This window comes from Homo sapiens, chromosome 5 (genome assembly GCF_000001405.40).
Source record: "Homo sapiens chromosome 5, GRCh38.p14 Primary Assembly".
In the NCBI taxonomy this organism is placed as follows: Eukaryota; Metazoa; Chordata; class Mammalia; order Primates; family Hominidae; genus Homo; species Homo sapiens.
In genome coordinates, this window is record NC_000005.10 from 3,102,536 (window position 1) to 3,124,623 (window position 22,088).

General features: G+C 47.0%; 1 annotated feature.

Moving 5' to 3' along the window:
• Positions 444–1,318: an enhancer, noted in NCBI's record as "NANOG-H3K27ac-H3K4me1 hESC enhancer chr5:3103093-3103967 (GRCh37/hg19 assembly coordinates)". NCBI's record gives its function as "activates a minimal SCP1, AML or CMV promoter by ChIP-STARR-seq in naive H9 embryonic stem cells {active_cell/tissue: H9 hESC(naive)}" and the evidence as "EXISTENCE:reporter gene assay evidence [ECO:0000049][PMID:30033119]".

Sequence of the window (22,088 nt, forward strand, 5' to 3'; positions counted from 1 at the left end):
CACTGCTCTGCAGCTTAAAATGTCACCAAACTCTCCCCAGAGGGGCTGCTGATGAGAACCACCCTCCGGGAAGACATACTCTCTGAGCAAGACAGCCTGAGTTCACCCGGCCTCTTAGGCCTTTGATCACAGGATCCTATTTTGGAATCAACGTTTGTGTCTGCCATTGCTCAAGGCCCATCCTGTCATCAGGCCACATCCTAAATTCAACCTAAGCCCTGCTTTCCACAGAGGAGGTGGGGCTGGGCCTAGGGGTGTCATTGGCCACAGGACTGCTGCCTGCTCTCATCCACCCTGAGAAGCAACTGCTGGCCAGAGGAAAACAATTCAGCCAGAAGACACGAAGTCAGAGAAAAGAGACCAGCATGGAAGAATTGAAGCCCTGTTGTGAACTAATGAACTAATTTTTGCTCAGTTGAATCCAGCCATGAGCTCCCGAGTGGGAGTAAGAAGAGTTTCAGCCTCAAGCAGGGACCCCAGGCCACAGGGGTGTTGCCGGGTGAGGAGGCTGCATTTGTGTTGGCATCAAGTGCATTTGTCTTCCGGGTAGAGCCAAATAAAAGCAGGTGAAGGAAATTAACATGGAATTAGGGTGCAAACCTTAGAATGCATTTCCTTCATCTCCCCCATCCATCTGCAGGGTGGGAAGTGGGGTGAGCCCGCCCCCGGGCTGACACAGTGATGAGCAATGGCAATTTGCCTTAAAAACCCTAACGAGTGGATCATTGCTGCAGAGGAACGGGAGAACCCTCCAGTCCCCCGGCGGCTGCATGCCACGGTCGGCTGTGCAGTAACCAGGCAGAGCACAATGACATCCCAGCCTCGCTCCCCAGATAAAAATTTCTCTCCCTCCACTTTTGCAAAGGTAATGAGGAAGTAATGAGGCTTGACTTGAATTTTTTCAGCCCTGGCTTTCCCTCCTTCCCCAGCAGGTCCCCCAGGATGGCATAAGACGCTGGGTTTCTATAAAAGCTGTGCTGTGGCTGGGTGGAGGAGCGGAGTCGGGCTCTGTGGCCTCAGAGGCCGCTTGCAAGAGTTCAGATAAACCGAGGCCCCTTTCAGCGCGTCCGTCTGCTCTGATCGGCTCCACTGAATAAGACGATTTGAGGATGTGCAGGCCCGGCCGCGCAGCTCCCTGTTTATTTTACCACTTGATGGCTAGAAAGCCCTGACCTTTCCCGGCTACCTTTCCGCCACCACCTCCCCCAGCCCCAGCCCTGTTCCTCTCCTGCTTTTTGTCTCTTTTGCAGCTTTACTACATTCAACTGTGCAAATAGTAAAATCCCAAAAAGGTAGGCAGAAGGGCTGTTTGAGATCATTAGCTTAATTTGAGCTGAAAGGTCTTTGTTGTAAGTTGGGGAGGGGAAGGACCCGGGGACCTTAGCTGAGTGTTCTGCTGGCAAGCTTGTTGAGATATGATTGCCTTTGTTGTGATAATCTGAAATTAATTTGCACTTGAACCCATCTTTCTTCTGGGCTCAATTTAAACACTGTTATAATTATGCGCCCTGCATGAAATTGAGAACAGACCCTGATATGACAAAGCTGAATGTTTTAATTCCCCAGGTACAGACGGCTTTTTTCCTCACTTATCTCACAAGGTAATAAAACAAAATGCTGCAGTGCTCATGCTTAAGAGAGAGGTATTTGCCTGAGGGGAAACAGAGATAATCACTGTATCGCTCCACATTTCACTCTGTACTTTCGCAGTGGGTCAATCGCTTTCTTTTAAAGTGATGTTAAACTTCTGCTAATATTAGTTGATTTGTACCTGGAACGCTATTTTAAAAAAAAAATGAAAATGGTATGTTTTATTCTATTTCAGCCGCTCCTCATCTAAGAGGCTTTGTCTCTAACATCCATTTCCTCAGATTTTTTTAAACACTATTAAAGGCTGCCTCCTAATATGCACAATTGATCTTAGCGGAGCACCGTTCTTGTTCTCAGTGTGAGCTGTAATATCCTTATCAGCATTCTTTTAGTTTTAACCCAGATTAGTGTTTTTGGTGAGGAATCTCATTAACTCCGGCAAGCCTATCTTCTTTTGTGATTGCCTTCGGAATTGTATTGTACTAAAAGGCCAACGGGGCCTTTCCCCCAGGCACAAATTCTTCTTTAAATCAGCCTTCAGCTTAGAGAAACTACACACTCCTCAGAAAGAGACGTTCTGAAGGGTCGGGATGAACTGTGCGGGTTCCCCTCACTGGAAGACACGGCTAAGACCGGCTGGCAGTTTGGGAATCTGGGGGAGGAGACCCAGGAGTCCTGCGGGCTCCCCGGCTCCCCGCTCCTGGCCCCTTCCTGTTTCCCTTACTATCTTGCGCAAACACCTCAGCTGCCGCCTCGGAAAAACAGCCTTAAACGATCATGGTCGTGTCGTATTGTGTTAAAAGCAAGTGTCATTTCACAGTCACACAAGCAAGAAAGCCATCTCCCCAAACAGAGCCCAGGGCAGAAGACGGACAGAGAAGGAGGGGTTAAAAGGAGACACCTGCCAGCTAAGGAAGGCGGCCCAGTGCCCTCTGACCATCCTGGTGCATTTTATAAATAATCACAACACCCAGTACTTGGGTTGGTTTACTAATAAAATGTACAAGGGTCGAATTCAGAGTAATTTGAAAAATAAAATATATCCCCCCCAAATGCCAGTTTAATTCTGTTGGTCATGCGATAAAATGTCAACGGCAAATGTTTATGACTGAGCTTATTTGTTAGAAATTCTATGTGAGAAAAGTACAGATGAGTAATTGGGTACGATAGTGTTTTTAACAAAAACTATGCATTGGTAGAATGGCTTTATCTCTGATGACTCATTGTTCCATGCACTCTATGATGATTTCAGTGGAAACAAAGAGTGTTCCAATTATAAGATGGTGGTAGTAACAGGACTATTTTATTTATTGTTTTGCAAAGCCTATTCAAATATACACACAAGTGGCATCTATGTTCTTTAATCACTCTTCTTACTAACATATTTTTGAGAAAGAATTGAGGCCACAGTTCAGAGTCTCATGTCAGCACCTCCTGAGAAAGCCTGTAGCTGCGTGGATAAGGCACCTGGTGTACATAGGAGGCCTGAGCCTGCCTATAAGTACATAGCAGAGAAGAGTGTCCATTGTCACATGTGAGCGCCGTGTGGGTGCACCTAGGGTCCTAGATGGGAAGTGTGTGCACCACTGCCGTACAGAGGAGGAGCAGGAAACCCACATCACGTGGCAGAGGCACGTGCTTGATGACCCAAAGGCCATGTGGTGTGCTTATCCGCAGGGGTCCTGTGTAAGCCCAATGTCCCAGTGGAGAGGCGGGGGTTGCACTGTTCTGCAGAGGATGATCAGGTGTACCTGTTACCACACAGAGGAGACGGGTGCTCCTACTGTCATATAGTGGAAGTGGGTGAGCTTGTTATCAGGCAGAGGTGTGCCTGCGCCCATTGTTCTATAGACAAAGAGCAGGTGCTGTGTTTCCTACAGAAGCTCACCTATCAGAGGAGTGGGGTCTAACTCCCCATGAGCGAGGCAGGGCTGCAGCAGATGTCCTGTAACTGAGGGTGTGTGCCTAGAGTCCTCTGAGGAGGCATGGGCGTCCCCAAAACCATGCAGAAGTGTTGTTCCATAGAAGTGTGTCTGCCTGATATGGGGGACAGTTTCGCCCCCTGCCATGTGGTGGAGGGGAGGCCAAACTGAGGAGGCTGGGTCCCTTCCCCGCAGAGTCCCAAGTCAGACTTGCCACAGCCTCTGAAACTCTCAATAACCTGTCCGAGAAAGGACACCAAAGAAATGAAGCCACTCAGAGAAGTGGCTCGAGGTGCCCCTGGGATGGAAGGGGAAGGTGAGGGGGCCACAGGGCTGCATTTTCCCCTTGACTCTGTGTGACTGGCTCCCCAGCCCCTCCCCTCTCCCTCTGCTCTCCCTCCCCTCCCTTACCCTTCCCTCTGCTTTCTCTTGCTTCTCCTCCCCTCCTCTCCCCTCCGCTCCCCTCATCTCCTCTCCCTTCCTCTCCCCCCTCCCCTCCCCTCCTTTCTTCCCTTCCTCTCCCCTCCCCTCCCCTCCTTTCCCCTGCTCTTGTCCCCTCTCCCCTCCCCCCCCTTCCTCTCCCCTCCCCTCACTCCCCTCCCAGCCTCATCTCTGCCCACTCCATCATGCTCTGCGCGCCCCACTCACTCACTGACAAGCAGCCTGGGCAAAACAACCTCCCACAAACAAAGCAGGGGGCCCTGTTTTTCTTCTGATAACATCTCCTGATCTCATTATTGATTATCTGCTTTCTTGGGCCTTGTTTCCGGAAAGTTTGACATAGGACAACAGAGGTGACAGAAGGTTGGCCCTGGGCCCTGGACATGAATAGGCCAGCCATGGTCCGCACCGCAGCGGAGCTCAGCCAAGGCAGTCAGGCTGTCTTGACTTCATCTCTCCCTCCTTTATCTCGAATTTGTCTTGAACCCTCCCAGGCAATTCACTATCCTTGTCACTGATTTTTATCACCCCCATGTGCCCCTATGAGGAACTGCTTTTTGACTGATGAACCAGCTCCTCATTTAAACAACTGAGTGCTTCACCTCCATGTGAAAACAGCTCTCTCAACAACAAGAAGAAGAATGCCCTATTTACATCAATCCTTGGCCAGGACTCTTGTGCTGAAAATTTGCCCCAGCTCTCACCGCGGGCGCTCTGTGAATGCCAAGCGCTCCTGCAACCTGACTCCGTGCATGGGATATTCCCCCACCCACAGTTCCACCCAGAGCCAGGGGGCCTCCGGAATGCAGCCTCAAAAAGCCAGCTTGGAACAACAGATTCATACACGGCCCCTCCTGTCTCAGAGTCTCTGCGGCAGGTGCCTGGGTCTTCTGGCGTCTGAGGCCAGCTCCGCCACGGCATCTGTGGTCCCCTGAGCACAGATCTCTTGCAGTAAGCACAGTGTTCAACATGCAGTTTCTTTTCTCCAACTGCCGACAGCCCCCCACCCCCAACTCACTGCCTCTAGGCCAATACTGGGTCCTCTTCCCTCTGACTTGGCCTCTTCCCTTGGCTGCTGGCCCTGCAGGATGGAAACAGTGTCTGTGGCCAGAGCAGAAGAGAGAGGATGCTCAGTGTTTAGAGCCGAACATTCTCAGTGGCGTGTCACCAGATTTGATGTTGCTGAGCAGCCTTCTGCACATTCCTGCCCTCTTCAGGGTTTCAGCCACCTGAGCCACCTTCTTGCTGCATATGCAGTTGAGGTGAAAACTTCTGTGCATCTGAGGTTGAGTTTGGAAGGCAGGGTGAGGCTTTGACACTGGATTTCTCACCGGTTCTGATGACGCCATACTCTTGAGGGTTTCTCTTGGCTTCCTAAGGCCCCAGGCGTTTGCTTCCCCTCTCACAGCCTTCGGAGAGGCCTGTGACTTTACAACCAGGCACAGCCAACGTACAAGAATCACATGGGACTTGGTCCACAGAGCAGGTGCAAAGAAACAGTTCCCAACCGTGTTCGTCTTTCCATTGCTGATACAGATTCTCCAAAATGTAACTGCAGGCCAAAGACCCCACCTGTCCTCACTGCAGCCAGGAGACACACAGGGTGCATGCATGGTTTGGGGATGGCTGGAAGCTCAGCTGTGGTCCTGGTCCCATTTTATCCTAGCTTTGCAGAAGCTACAGTTCTCATGCTGCCTCTCAGCATGCATGCATTTTCCTCCCCTGTAACTGAAACTAAGAAGGAGTCTCTCCCTCTGAGGTTTTCTTCATCCCATCTATCAACATGATTAATTTGATTATCAATATGATTAATTTACAGAATTCACTCCTCAGAAGAACCAGGACCCAAACAGTCTGCTTAGGTCCAAAATTTAGGAGTCAGCCTCCACTCACTTTTCTTCACAACCTGCCCGGTCCCATCCAATCCACTTTGGGGAGCCCCTGGAACCTCTTTCCAGAAGGTCTAGAATCTAAGTCCTTCCATGATCTTTGTTGATGCTACTCCCTCAATCCACCCCCACCTTTATGCTGGAGGTTTGCAGCTCTCTGCTCCTCCTCCCAGGCCCATAAGCCATGCCACACGGCAGTCTGAGGGGCCTTCTAAAAATATAAACCACAGCATGTCCCCCATAAGCACCAAAATGCTTGCTAGCAGCTCCCCATGGGACTTAGAACCCAAATGTCACTTCAGCCTGGAAGGTCCTTCACGTCTGGCCCTCCCCCATCCCACCCGTCTCTGCCCTACCCACACTGCTCCTTGTGCAGCTCTGATGAGCTCATTCCCACCCCAGGACCTTTGCACTGGTTGCAAAACTCTTCTCCCAAACTCAGACATCACCTCCATGGCCTCCTTACAGAGAAACACTCTTCCTGTTCCTCCCACAGCCACACTGTATTTGCTTAGCTTATTTAATCAAACAGAATTATTTTATATCTATTCCAGGTTGTGGTTTTTGTTTGTTTGTTTGTTTGTTTTTTTGCAGCTGTCTTCCTCTACTGCAGGAGCTCCCAGAGCTCAGGGATCATTTGTGTCTTTCCCAGGTCAGGCCTGGCTCAGGGTCACCTCCCCAGGGGCCAGCACGTAGCCATCCTCGATGTGTGCATTCTGAATAATGAGCAAATGGCAGGGACGCTGAAGAACACAAGAAACAGTGAGGTTGTCTAAGCTTGGGCTGAGTTTCCTGATGACCCTTGGTGGCTCTCATCTCTTCTACATCTCAGTTTTCCAATCTTTAAATCATGAGTGATGGAACTTGATACTCAAAGAAGCTATATGTTTTGGTGAAATTTTGCTACTAATGATTTTGAGGGGTAACGGGAAAATTCTGCAAGGTAAAATCCTCATGGGAGGAGTACACGATGTCTGCAAGAGGGCTTTCCAGGATGGCCTCAGAACAGCAGCCTGAAGAACCTGCTCTCTTCGGGGGAGATTTTGCTCATCAGTATCACATCTACCTACTGCCAAGTGTTACCCACATTTGCTTCATGGAGCCTGTTTGTGGCTCTGCCAGGGAGGTACTTATAGGCATTTTCTATCAAAGGTGATGTTCACAGGTCAGATGCAAGGGCCACCTGCGGTGCTTAGAACCTCAGTTCACTGAGGGTATAGCTGATTTATAGGAGCCCGTGTCTTGTGCTCAGGTGGGAACACAATCCAGGAGCCACATGGAAGTGGCTAGTGTGATGGCCGAAGTCAGGAAGGGGGGAGAATTCTTCCAGACCTCCATGGTGAATCTGGGGGTCACATGGAGGAAAGGCTCCAACTGCAGAGACAGCCTGTCTGGGAAAAGCTGGACATTAGCCACACCCATACACAGAGGGGACGCTTCCAACCGCTGACTCAGGCATTGTCACCCAAACACCAGAATAAAATGGTTTGGTTTCTGGTAGAGTTTTCTTTCTCCATAATTGGAAGAGCATGCAAGTCACAGCACAGACGCTACAAGCAACGTGGGAGCAGCTCTCACCCAACCATGTTAGTTTAGAGAGTGAATACCTCGGGCCAGCAAAGCCCAGAATGTTTTTCAAGATCAGCGGGCATAGGCGAAAGTGGAACCCAGCTTGGGGCCAGCACGCAGCACTGCCTTCCACACTAGTCCAAGGGAAAATCCTCCTTCAGGGTCTTCAGTGGCACTGACGGGATTGATGGGATGACTTCACAGAGCGCGTCCACCTTTTCTCACTCTGTCGAACTTGCCCAGTATTCCTCCAAGCACTCCCAGGAGGTCTGTCAGACATGGGACCTCCACACTTTGGAGAACAAAACCAAGTCTTTCAGGAAAGCATGTTAATCAGAATTGTAAGATTGGGTAAAATGATGAGAGCTCCTCATCCCGGCTCCTGCCCCCAGTGTGTGTTACGGATTGAGGTCAGAGGGCAGGACTCGGATGTCCTCCTCATGGGTCTCCTCACCTGGGGAACAGCCGTGATCCTGGCGGAACCCTGGCTTCGGTCTAGAAGGGCTCTCAGTGCCCTCAGTATCCTGCCAGCCTAGTCTCCAGGGCAGGCTTTCTGTGCTAGGACATCCCGCCCAAGGGGAAGTGGCAGTGCCTTCACCAACCCGCCTGACACTCCTCCAGACCAGACGACGCTGTCAACATTTGTTTCCCCCTAACCATTTGCTCTCCTTTTTGCCTGATTAACATTGTGCCAGCCTGTTCCTACAAGAAGCTGGCATGTGCCAGAAGGACCCTGCAGTGCCTGGCACTGGGCGATTCCTCCTTGACTGTTGGTTAAGAGAAATCATCAAGGGCTGAGTCCTTGCAGACTCACCTTGCCTGCAAGGTGAATCTTAAATGACCCAATGCATATAAAATGCAGAGCACAAGACCTGCTGCTCCACAGGTGTTTGATAAACGGCAGTGCAGGCTATTACTTGCACTGTTTTTGTTTTTGTTTTTTGTTTTGTTTTGTTTTGTTTTGCTTTTGTTTTTGTTTTTGTTTTTGACATGGAATCTAGCTCTTTTTGTCCAGGCTGGAGTGCCATGGCATGATCTCGGCTCACTGCAGCCTCCGCTTCCCAGGTTCAAGTGATTCTCCTGCCTCAGCCTCCTGAGTAGCTGGGACTACAGATGCGTGCCACCACGCCTGGCTGATTTTTGTATTTTTAGTAGAGACGGTGTATCACCATGCAGGCCAGGCCAGTCTCAAACTCCTGACCTTAAGTGATCCACCCACCTTGGCCTCCCGAAGTGCTGGGACCACAGGCATGAGCCACTGCACCCGGCCCTTGCACTGTTAACATTATCATTACTCTTATTTCATTTTTTTTTTTCTTTGAGACAGGGTCTTGCTCTGTTGCCTAGGCTGGAGTGCAGTGGCCCAATCATAGCTCACTGCAGCCTGGACCTCCTGGGCTCAGGCTATCCTCCTGCCTCAGCCACCTAACTAGCTGCGACCACAGGTGTGCACCACCACACCAGGCTAATTTTAAAAATTTTTTCTAGAGACCGGCTCTCACTATGTTGCCCAGGCTGGTCTCAAACTCCTGTGCTCAAGTGATCCTCCTGCCTTGGCCTCCCAAAGTGTTGGAATTACAAGTGTGAGCCCGGCCTGTGGTTGATTCTTCAGTCTTTCAGTGGCAGAGATCTCCCTCACTCCTTCCATCCGTCAGTGTTGGACACTCTCCCCACCCACCCCCATCCCCTGAGGAAGGCCATTTTCAGCTTGGAAGTCCCGGGCGGGCATTGTTGGAAGTGGGGCCTCTCAGTAGTGCTTAGAGCCCTCTAAACCAGGTCTGGGGTGCGTGGTGGGTGAGGTGGGTACAGGGTTTCCTCAGGTCCGTGGTCTGTAGAAAAACTTCCGGTTCCTTTTTCCTAAACAAACTTTTTGACAGTAACATAGGGGTCCCCATCCCCTGCTGTCTCTGGAAGCCTTACCTTGCGCCTGTCCATTTCATTCCAAGTGATTAGTGGATTTTCAGGATCTACTTGTTCTGTGGGCTTTTCCCCTCCAACACTGACTGTAACTAAGGTGCTCCTGTAGGGGAACAAGCAGTGGACTTCCCCGTGTGTCCCTGAGTCCCACCTCTGCTCTGGCCAGCCTGTCCTGGACTCACGGCATGGTGGCCTGGCTCCCCTTCTGGACCAGGGCACAGATCCAGCTCTGGAACTGCTTGGTGGTAATGTCAACCCTAGGTAATGATGGCTCTGCATTTCTGTTGAATGGACAACCCAAGAAACAGGAACTTTAGGTTCTCGCCTGAGGCCTCAACCCTAAATCAATGCTGTTTCTTCTGGCTGGAATCTGATTCAAGCACCTGATGCTTGAGAGGCGCCCCTCAGGGGCATGTAAACTGAGCACTGCTGAAGGCTCCGCCAGGCGTATTTCTACTAAGGCGAATGTTTTGAGGCCGAGGCAGGAGAATGGCGTGAACCTGAGAGGTGGAGCTTGCAGTGAGCTGAGATCGCGCCACTGCACTCCAGCCTGGGTGACAGAGCAAGACTCCCTCACAAAAAAAAAAAAAAAAAAAAAAAATTATGATTTATCCAAGCTTTTAGCCATGGCAGAAAGTATTTTGTTCTCTTTTGCTTTTTTAAATAATAACTTTGTACATGTTTCTGAGGTTGTATTGGAGGTGTTGTATGAATTTTAAGGAACTGATGTGAAAAAATACTGCAAACCATAGAAAATAATTAATTTTTACATTTTTTACTTTTTTTTTTTTTTTTTTTTTTGAGACAGGGTCTCACTCTATCACCCGGGCTGGACGGGCTGGAGTGCAGTGGTAGAATCTCGGCTCCCAGATTCAAGTGGTCCTTGTGCCTTAGCCTCCCGAGTGGCTGGGACTACAAGCACGTGCCACCACGCCTGGCTAATTTTTGCATTTTTTGTAGAGATGGGGTTTTGCCATGTTGCCTAGGCTGGTCTCAAACTCCTGAGCTCAGGTGATCTGCCCACCTCGGCCTCCCAAAGTGCTGGGATTACAGATGTCAGCCACTGCACTCAGCCTGAAAATGTTTATTTGTTTATTTTTATTTTGTTTATTTGTATTATATATTTTTGAGACTGAGTCACTCTCTGTTGCCTGGGCCACAGTACAGTGGCACAATCGTGGCTCACTGCAACCTCCACCTCCTGGGTTCCAGCAATTCTCGAGCCTCAGCCTCCCGAGTAGCCAGGATTACAGGCGTCCACCTCCTCGCCTGGCTAATTTTTGTATTTTTAGTAGAGATGGGGTTTCACCATGTTGGCCAGGCTGGTCTTGAACTCCTGATCTCGTGATCTGCCTGCCTCCGCCTCCCAAGGTGCTGGGATTACAGGCATGAACCACCACACCCAGCCTGAAAATAATTTATTAAAAAAAAATTGGAAAATAACCATAATATTACTTAATGTCAATTACTCACATTTTTAAGAAGTATTTATTTTTTGGCCTGGCGCGGTGGCTCACGCCTGTAATCCCAGCACTTTGGGAGGCTGAGGCGGGCGGATCACGAGGTCAGGAGATCGAGACCATCCTGGCTAACACGGTGAAACCCCATCTCTACTAAAAATACAAAAAATTAGCCGGGCGAGGTGGCGGGTGCCTGTAGTCCCAGCTACTCGGGAGGCTGAGGCAGGAGAATGGCGTGAACCCGGGAAGCGGAGCTTGCAGTGAGCCGAGATTGCGCCATTGCACTCCAGCCTGGGTGACAGCGAGACTCCGTCTCAAAAAAAAAAAAAAAAGAAGTATTTATTTTTTGTGGTTTGATGTAGTTTTTCTTCTTGCCAATTGTGACATTTTAAATATTTTTCCTAGAATTATATTTTCAAATATTTTGGAATTTTTTAAAACTATTAAACTTAAAAACAGGAACAGTAAGTAGTGACTTTGGAGGGCAGGATAATGCCGGTCAGGATGCAGAGCAAGGGGAAAGCTCCTGGAAGAGTGTCTCAAGGGTGTCGAGCAAGATGTGTGTTGACGGAGACATGGAGACAGGGAAACCATCCAGGCCCTGCTGCAACTCCCTGTGGAATCAAGACTCCATGTTGAGACCTTAGATCACAACGGCAGGACTGATGATGTGATTGTGTATCAATATACAACCTTTACCTGAAAGAACGTGAAATTATTCCCAATACCATATGATAGCTGAACATTTAAAACAAATAGGGGGTGGGCACGGTGGCTCACACCTGGAATCTCAGCACTTTGGGAGGCTGAGGCCGGTGGATCACCTGAGGCCCAGGAGTTTGAGACCAGCCTGGCCAAAATGGTAAAACCCTGTCTCTACTAAAAATACAAAAATTAGCCAGGCATGGTGGCAGGTGCCTATAATCCCAGCTACTCGGGAGGCTGAGGCGGGAGTATTGCTTGAACCCTGGAGGCAGAGGTTTCACTGAGCCGAAGTTGCGCCATTGAGCTCCAGCCTGGGGGACAAGAGTGAAACTTCGCCTCAAAAAGAAAAAAAAATAGGATTCCTCCTTTAGGTTTGCCTAAGAGCACTCAGTATTGAAGCAAAGGGGGAACTGCACCCACACAAGGCCGCTGGTGCTGCCACGTGTGTGGGGCAGATGGGATCCCAGGAGCACTTTGCGAGTGTCCCCCTCCCTAAACACAATGTTAAAAGAAAACCTCAGACAAATTAAATTTAACAGAGTTTAATTGAGCAAATAACGATTCACTGATCCGGCAGCCTCCGAGCCTGAGTAGACTCAGAGTCCAGCGCGGCCACGTGGTGGAAGATGTATAGACAGAACACGGAAGTGAGGTACAGAAACAGCCAGAGAGGTTGTAGCCCGGCGTTTGCCTTATTGGAACACAGTTTGACCAGTCAGCGCCCTTTGATTGGCCAAAACTCTGTGATTGGCCGAAGAGCAGGAGGTTAGTCTGTTTCCACCTCCACATAAGCTGCCGTTCACTATGTGCAGAGAACCCTTTAGGCTGAACTTAAAATTCATAAGGAGGCAGCTTTAGCCTAAACTTGATTTGACGCCAAGCATCAAGGCACACAATTCATATTTTCTGGCTGGTCTCTGTCATATTGGATACTACCTTGCAGAAGTGTCTTCAGAGCTTTAGAGTAACCTTCCATGCTGCTCTGAGATACCCATGCAAATAATTCCTCAGCCCAGTCCTGTACCAAACAAACCCACCACAAAACAACGTGGCAGCCACCAAAATGTCTCTAGCAATCCCCTTGCAAGGGCCAGCTACTCAAGGCCCAAAGCTTTTTTTTTTTTTTTTTTTTTTGAGACGGAGTCTGGCTCTGTCGCCCAGGCTGGAGTGCAGTGGCGCTATCTGGGCTCACTGCAAGCTCCGCCTTCCTGGTTCACGCCATTCTCCTGCCTCAGCCTCCCGAGTAGCTGGGACTACAGGCGCCCACCACCATGCCCAGCTAATTTTTTGTATTTTTAGTAGAGACGGGGTTTCACCGTGTTAGCCAGGATGGTCTCGATCTCCTGACCTCGTGATCCACCCGTCTCGGACTCCCAGGCCTGGAGCTTTTTAACTATCACTCAGTCTCAATTTTTCCATTTTGAGGAAACTTTTCCCTGATGAAGAGTTAACGATTCCCCTGCCATCCTGACCTGTCTAGGACTGTGTGTGTGGAAAAATCATGCCCGGATCAGGCCACATACCCCTAGAATCAGAGCTGTTTCCTAGGGATGTCTAACTTTGTGTGACTGTGGTCCTTGGTATTCTTAACCAGTCACTGGCAATTCATTAGTATTTAAATTTATGCTAATTTCATCAAGGTGTGAAAAGATCTTTTTCTTGCATATACATGAAAGAACCATATTACTATTCAATTGGCTTTTTTCCTCTCTTTTTAACCCAAGAAAAGCTTGTTGTGACTTAACAAAAGAGAAGGCAGAAATACTACAAAAACACAATCTAGAAAAAGCCTTACGTGAAGCTCTTACATTCTTTTTTTTTTTAACTTTTAAATTTCATGTTGTAAATGTAACAGTCCTCCTAGAAATATGAGTGCACAATAGCGGGAGAAATGCCACTTTACATGTGTGTGCACCGAGATCACAATCAGACACTTGACATCTTAGGAGTTCAAGATTGCATCCTAAAATGCCATCTACCATATTATTATCTCTGCCATTTACATAATTTAGGTTTTTCTCCAGGACGGGAAAAACATGCTACATAGCATTCAATAGCATTTCCCAACCCTACTGCATCTCACCGATTTGTCTACTAAGGATGTATGAAGACATCTTCAAAATTGGTCCTCATGTTCATATATATATAATCACATATATATCTCATATATGTTCACAGGCATATCAAAGTGAACTTGCAGTATAGGGGCAAACATAATCTGTCCCGACTGCAGACAGCCTGAAAGCCATCGCCCTGGCATAGGAAACTAGAGGCTTCTGGTGGGGGGTCACTGCCCCGGAGAAGTCCTCTGGTCCGGTCCACGGTGCTCCCTGCTTCCCCCTGCACTGCCCGCACCTACGGCAGCCACAGTCTCCCCAAAACTCTTGTGATGGCTCCACAAGGCATGCCCTGCCCTTATGATACCATTTAATCGTGTTATAAGGCGGCCTGGCGCGAGCTTGTCGCGAGGGCAGATTGCGCGGCCCGTATAGATTTGCTGTCATCCTGTAGGCTTCCCACACAAGACAGAGGCCTGGTGACGCACAGCGGGAACCCGGGGCTTGCAGGGTTAAGTACTCCCTGCCTCCTGGCTGGGGGTTCCACTAGCATCCGCAGGCGGGCGGGACTGGGCCCCATCCCTCACAGTGCCGATGACACGATGGATCTCGCCTGTCACTGTCATTACAGTCAGCTTCACTCCACCGCCGATAAGAAGGCCACTCCCCTAAGCACGGAGAAGGCAGATATTTTTCTACCTAATTTTAGGGAAAGAGCTCTTACAGGTGTCCTTTCAGCAGGATTTGAGATGTCTCACTCTGATCGCACATCCAGGAGGCAGAAGACTCCTATCACTCCATAAATTAATTTCAGTCCTTTAGACTGGAAATATACTATCTGTGCATTTTATTGGAAAACACCAACACTTCTAAAAGGCAGCCTTTCAAATTTTGAAGCGTGGAGGTAAAACTTTTAGAGTGTAGCCTTTTGGAGGTATTTATGAAACCTTAAATATGCTCACACACTCATTCTGGACGGTATCTTGAAAATTGCTTCATTTGTTTTGTTCGGTGATCAAAACAGCCAGGCATTCTTTTAGAATGAGCAGCAGGGGAAAGCATTGAAGTTATCTCAGCAGGATTGAATCTAACTTTTATCGTGTTGAGACTCATGTGCAAACTACAGTGTTTGTCTCACCTATGACACTGTCAGGGAGAGGGCAGGGTAATTGATCCCCCCCCAAATGTGGAGTGCAATAAGGATGTCTTATTCCCTACATACAAAAGGGAACTTCTTGTGATGGCTGTGTTAACAGGAGCCTATGCCGTGGCTGAGTGTAGGGATAGTGTGGAAAATGCAGTGGAGAGCCACCTCCTAGGGCTGGAGATGCCAACATCACACTAGTAAGTCCCTGTCATTCTGCATCATCAATGCTGTCTAAGGGAAGGAGGAATGTTTATTTTCTGCACGTCGCTGCACTTCCAAAAGATACAGTTTTCAGCATGTGCTTCTGAATGCTTTCTTTAAAAATTCAAATATTTTTGCAAGTCAGCTGGGAGTAAGGAGTGAGATCTGGGCTGTTAGAGCTATCAGAGAGAGGGAGCGAGAGAGAGAGAGAGAGAGAGAGAGAGAGAGAGAGAGAGAGAGAGAGAGAGAGAGAGGGAGAGAGAGAGACCCATTAAACTTCCCCAGAGTTTACTGATTACCCCATCACTTAAAGACAACAACAAAAATTGTTCTACCAATGTTTCCAACAAGCTTCGTTTTGAAGTTTTAATCAGGTCTAAATGGAAAGTGATTGAGAATGGCGTGGTCTGCATTTTAATCCCTGGAAACGCTCCCCGCCCCCAAGTCTTTGGCTGTGTGGCGTGTAGTGTGGCCTTGGGTTTCTGAGTGTTTCTAACATACATAATGAGCTCAATGTCAAGCTGTTGGATCTTTTGTCTTTAACAATAAGCATTTAGCTCAACTAAATGAATAGAAATTGCTTTAGTGAATTACAAAAGCCAAGGTCTTTTTAATGCACCAATGATGACATTAATTATTTTCGACATTGTCTTATTTTTGCAAATGTATTAACTTAAAATTTGACTTAAAATGTAATAAATTCATTTACTGTTCCAATTAAAAATGTGAAACATTCTTAGTAAATCAAAATGTCTGCTGATGGCGATGACAATCCTCCCGATAAAAAATAAACAGTCTGAGTGCATCACCGAATTCATGATTCATGTGATTACGAATCTAACATAGCATCAGCACTGTCTACTTTTCCCTGTTTGAAAAGCAGTTAGGTGGCCAAGTTATAATGGGCCCCCAGCACTGCTGTGCTTCCTAAAGGGAGCTTGCCCATGGTAGGACCAGTTTCCCAACACTGCCAAACAACGGGGCCAATTTCCCTGCAAAGAGAGACCAGCATTCAAAAAGTTGCAGTGATCCGTCCTCCAGCACCCCCTCCACCCTCCTTCTGCAGTTGCCCGGAGAGATCTGAATGTCTTTTCCTAAATCTCTGTAATCCAATAAGCTTTTGTGTTTAGCAGCTTGTTTTGAAGGCTGTGCGGCACCCCAACCCAGGTCTCCGCAAGGCCCTCGGCAGGCAGGTGAGCGCCCCGGGGCCTGAGCGCTACGCCGGGCGAGAGGCCCGCGCAGCCCCAACCAGAACGTAATTTGTAATTAACTGTCATTTACTTCTGTCTGCATTGACTTGTTGTTCAAAAGACAATGCAACTGGGCTGGTCACTCATTTCCCTTTGTTGTGGATATAATGTCTCTGAGATCTGGTTGTTTTCATAATGTTTAGAAACTCAGGGCTTACTCTCTTGAAACCAGAAGGAGAAGGGGAATTCGCTGAAATAAATCCAACACAAATAATTTGTTATGCCGAGGTACATCAAACATTCTATTTGATGAAATGGGATAAACCATCTTACAGAAGAACCACATACAGTTTAAGCCAGATAATTCAAATGACTGGAGTGAGTGTTCTCCCGAAGCACATCTTTTAAAATGCAGTCTTCAAAAGGCGATCTGTTCTGTAGCTGTAGACTCTAATTTATGCTCTCTTTTCAGTTTAATTATTTGCTTGTCACACTTTTCATTAGCAGAAAAATAAACAGAATGTGTGATAGGCCTTGGATTGGGGGTCCGTGTTTCCAAGATTGACAAGTAATTCCAAGTTTAACTACTTGGAAATTAACAAAGCTTAGCTTCCATTTGAACAGAAAAGACTGGGAAAGTATTAAGAGGTTTTAAAAGCAAAAACATCAGATATTTTTGCAATTCGATCCCTAACAAATGCCCTGCTCATTCTTCCATATTTTGGGGGATTATAATAGTCTTGAGGGAGAGTAAATAGCTCATCTTAAACATTTAAAATTTTTACTTAAACATCTCAAATCTTACTGCAAACAGGAATGTCTGGAGGTTTAGAGTGCTCTGCAGTATTTTTCCTTTCACTCTCTCGTTGCTATATAGTGGCATCCAGTGTCAGGCAAGTAATCCTTTGCAAATCACTGGGGTGCCAAGCAGGAGATAATGGCATAGGGAGTCACCCTGAGTCCCCCTCCCCTGAAAGCTGGGCTTCTGACCTAACCCAGGTCTCTCATCCTCCCAGGACCAAAAATGCAGAGGAACCTAATTGCCTGTTTATCTTGGAAAGTGAGGAGCCATCTCAATTGAGCTAATAGTCCCCATAACATTGTTTTCAAATGCATCAAACAAACGAAGTCCCCGCACAAAAAGGAGCTCAGACCGTCCATTAGATTGAGCCTCAAGCCTGGAAATGTGGGTTGGCTGCTACTTAACTTTTCCCATCATTTTGAACCATTGAGAGCTCCACCGGCGCCACTTCTTCTCTCTCTATTAATGTGAAATATCTCCACACGGAAAGAGATCTCTGTAGAATATCTGTCATGTGTCTTGGTGGAGAGAGAGTGTGGGCAGAAGGGAGTTTTTGTTCAGACCACAGGTAATGCAGGCACCAACCCCAAGAAGACCACCTGGGGAGGGGGCCAGGCCCTGCTGGCCCTGGGCAGGGTACCGCCTGCCTTTCAGCTTCTAGGGACAGCAGTGGTGGCATCACCATTGAGCAGCAGCCACTCAAGAGTGCGAGAGTGCATTTTATGCTCGGCTTCCTCAAAACTGCAGAGTTGAAATTTACACCTTAGCTGCTGTGCTTCTCCCTGCTGTTAATTGGTAAAGGGAGCGCTGACCCTTTTGATCCGGGCGTCAAACCGCTAAATGCTCAAGTCTACTAAACTGTTCAGCAGGGCGGTGGCCTTCGATGATGGAGGTTCACTCATTCTCTCTCTCTCTGGCTTTCTTGGTTTACATCCAAGTTGCACAGAAATAAGAGATGACAGTTGTTATAGATATACCGGTTTAATTACTTGTCAGCTTATGGCTGGTATCTCAGCCAGTTGACGCAGAAGCTTAACTTTCTTCTAGTAGCTTAAATCCTGACCAACTGCTACAGCTTGTGTGTGTAGCCATACAACTCTGGATATGTTTAAGATAAAAAATAAAATTGATGAGCCATCTTCCTGATTTGCTAGCTGAAGTCATCAGCCTCTGGTGCCCCTGATTCCATATAGACCTCAAGTGATGGGAATGAGACAGCCATGCTGACATTTAGGGGCTGGGGATACGTTTTAATTTCATTTTATAATTTCCTCGAGACTACACTAATACGCCCCTTATGCCGGTGTAGTGCAAATGGGAAAGCACACATTGTATTTGTGATAAGGTGGAATTATAGCCAGGAGAATACAAATAGTGTAAATAATATAAAGAGATTTCTGCTGCTCTAATCCCAACCCTTCCTGGGTCTGAAGAGAGACCTGAATGCACTTGTGATTAAATGTTTTTGTCTGTCTCCACACTCAACCAGTCCCTTGTATTCAATTTCAACCCTTCCATTTAATATTGGGTTTATTTCTCAGCATCTCCGTTTGAAACTCTGCTCCACACAGAAGCCACCCTTGACCCTGGCCTTGCATGCAGGCCCCTTGCGCTCCACAGGTTGGGGCAGGACTCAGTGGTGAGGCTGGTTAGACCACAGGCCAGCTCCTGGCTGTGCTGTGCCTCTCTGTGGTCCTACAGCAGGCTTTAGGGTGGGGTGTGTGTGTGTGTGTGTGTGTGTGTGTGTGTGTGTGTGTGTGTTTATCCCTGGCTTTGTCATCCTCCAAGATACATAGTTTCCATTGAACTGAAGCAGATTATTGGTTACTATAGTTTCCCTATTGCTCAATTCAGGGCTGTGAAAAGCCCAGCACAGTGGGTTGCAAAGTCCAGTTAGAAGGAAAGAAGAGGAATAAACGCCCCTCTACCTGGTCTTCCCTCTTTGAGATAATCTCGGGTTTGTGAGACCCACAATGGAGGGCTGGGTCATTGTTTGCCACTTAAAGGGGTCTTCCATTAAGTTTACTTTCGAAGTTAAGTGAAGCTCCCAGCCGCACGCGGCTTCCCCTGCGTGGCCATTTTCGGTGAGCTCAGGGGCTGCCGCTGGACTGGTTGATGCCCTGGTTTGCTGTCCAGGCCTAGGGCTTCAGGGCGCTCTCCACTCTGGCACAAAAGGGCGCTTTCCGCTCTTAGGCTTTGCAAAGACATATTCCGGGCTCTGATTCCCTGATAAAATTGCAGCCCCCAGAATTTTGAGATGAAGATATGGGAAATGTACATTCAGGGAGCTGAAAATGACCTCTTTCAGTAGACCACATCCACCCAGAAGCATCTTCTGAGGGTGTGGGCACAGCTAATGCCTTCCAGGAAGCAACAGACACAGGTGACGGGGCCTGGCCGTGCCCTGGGGATTCGCGAGGGGGCTTTGTGCCTCTGGTGACAATGTTCACTTTCAGCCGAGGATGGCCAGGAAACAGTTAATTTGATTTGCGAGGCGAAAAGGTCGCATGTTTTGTTCAGCCCTTTCTCAGCCCCTTCCTCCCTCGCTCGGCCCCAGATCCATGGCAGCGCGGTTTCTCTCTGCCATAGTCTCGGCTGTGTCATGGCTGCATCCCACGTGGGCGACACACAGTGCCCCAGCGCCAGGCAGCGGGGACAATGGTCCCCAGCTCAGGGGGTTCCTTTGCCGGCGTCCCTTCCCCTTGGAATGCGCTTTCTTGCACCTCCTGTTTACAAACAAAATAAAACGGCACCAAGCTAAACAGCCAAAAAACTCCACCACCAGCAAAATAAAGCTAGAGTCAAAACTCCAGGAAAGGTTAAATGTTACCAGTCCCCAGTAAAAGCACAACCTTGTTCTCAGACTGGTATTTGACATTGCTGAAGGTTTTGTCTTGATTACTTTCAATAAAATTCAAAGTAAGGATGACTGTCTTGGCTCACTAAGCAACACGGTTTTATCACTAATTACAATACTTTATTACCAGTAGTTTAATAGGTTTATGATAGGTCATAAAACAATTCAGCATGGGAGTACATAAAAAGAAAGGGTTATACAGCTGTGACATCTTAATATCTATTCATCGTAATCATTTTATGATCTTTAATGGTAGCATTTTTTTATTAAAATATGTACATATGCCTTTACATGGGCTGTGGTGCCACCAAAACCGGGAGGCAGAGTGAAAATCACATAAATATATACTAAAATACTTAATGAGGCATTTCAAAAACTTCTATTGTCAAAAGCATGTCGGCTATATCACATGTGTGGAGTCTCATTATGGGTAATTAAAATAAAATCATAAGTGCTATAATAATTCTAACCTTGAAGGCACAATAAAGGATGGTTATATTTGCCTTCCTAGCCCACACATCTGAGGCATTTTCTTCATTAATTATATTTCACATAAGAATAATGATGCTGTGTAAGACTGAAATTCCAAGGCGTTTGCTAAATTCTGTGAATTCCAGTCTTCCTCTTGTGAGCATTTGTAGGCTTAATTATATTACTATCTAAAGTTATATTCTGAGAGGTGCAATATGTAATTTACACGGTTTGAAGGAGGGTGTTTGTTGCTGATGTTAATTTTATTTTGTAAACCAATTAGTAAAGTAAATAAATTAGAAGCTGAGCTTATCAGTTGACAGTGCATCAGGGCTGTGCTACACAGCCGAGCCAGGGATCAAATGGATTCCATTGCTTTTCCCACCTTCCCACTCCAAAATGTTTTTGTTTTCAGAACACGGGGCTTTTCAGCACTCTCTTTGGGGGCAGGGTGGCTGGGGACGGAGTGCAGAGCTACATGCCTATTGTTTTGTGGATAGTTGGAAAACCTGTTTGTTTTTGCAGATACGACCTCAATATTGGATTCCATTTTTCCAGCACAGGGAGCATGATGGCCCTGGACTGGGGGGAAAAAAATCTTTGATTTGTTTGTGGATTGTGACCTCTGATAGTAAATGATTTGGAAATTTAAAACGAACACCAGGATTACAAGTTTGCTGTGTTTTTTCTATATGTGTATGTGCATATCTACATATACACCCACAGGCACAGACACACACACACACACCTAAACTCAAAAAATTCTCATAAAAGCTAATTTCAGCTCCAGGCTATGACTGGAGTCTGTGGCCCCCTGCCTCCACCCTGAAGCTGGTTTCCTCACCTCTGTTAGGAACTCTGATTTAGAGAACAGCAAATTCCTGAGCATTTTAGGATCACATTAGAAAGCAAGAGAAAAAAAGTAAAGTGACCCTTAGAAGCTGCAGCGAAATTTTTACTGATTTAAATTAATTAAACAAAATCATTTAAATAAAATGTGTTGGTGGACACACATTTTGTAAATTTCAAGTACAATAGTAACTTAACACAGGCGAAAAAACAAAACAAAGCAAAAAACCCCAAAAAGCCCAGTAGATGTTGTCAAGGGAATTACTCCAGTGAATAGACCAGAGTTATTTGTAATTAGCATATAAATTGTATGCATGTAAATGATGCTTCTAAAAGGTATTTGAAAAGTTTATTTTCTTAAGTATTTTAAATAAGACCCCCTGCAACCTTGTTTACAGTACTGATTTGCACTTTCATGAAAAAGATTTGCAGGGCAAAAAAGAAAAAAAAAAAGAAAGAAAGAAAGAAAAAAAAGAAAACCCTTTAGTCAGGTCACCCCTTTCTTTCCAATTCTCCTGCCTTTGCTTTATCACAAATTACAAATTAATGGCATACAAATTAATGAGGTTTTTACAGTATTCAGTCAAATCATGCAAAAAAAGCTTTAATTCAAACACTGGAGCTTGATTATTATAATTTATTTAAATGTAATGCACTGTTTGCTAAATTTCATAGGGCTGGAATCAATATGTAATTTAAAGTTAATTTTGAAATAGAGGAGCAGAAGTGGCCTGGTTCTCAAAGAGGGTGGCAGGCTGCTGTAGTCTCATGAAAACCACAAACTGGTGCTTCACGGAAGCAACATGTTTAAAATGATGGAGAAACAGCCAGACCTGAGTACAGAAAGCACAGCTGTAGGGTCAGACTTGCAAGATCCCCACTTGTGGACTAGACCACTTGGGAGCTTTGGCTCTTGCAAAGGCATTTGTTTCCCTGTAGTCACCACGGTTCGCCCACATGTAGGTTGGATGGCCCGTGCTTTCTGCTCACGACTTCACTTGCTGCATTTTGTGGATGAATA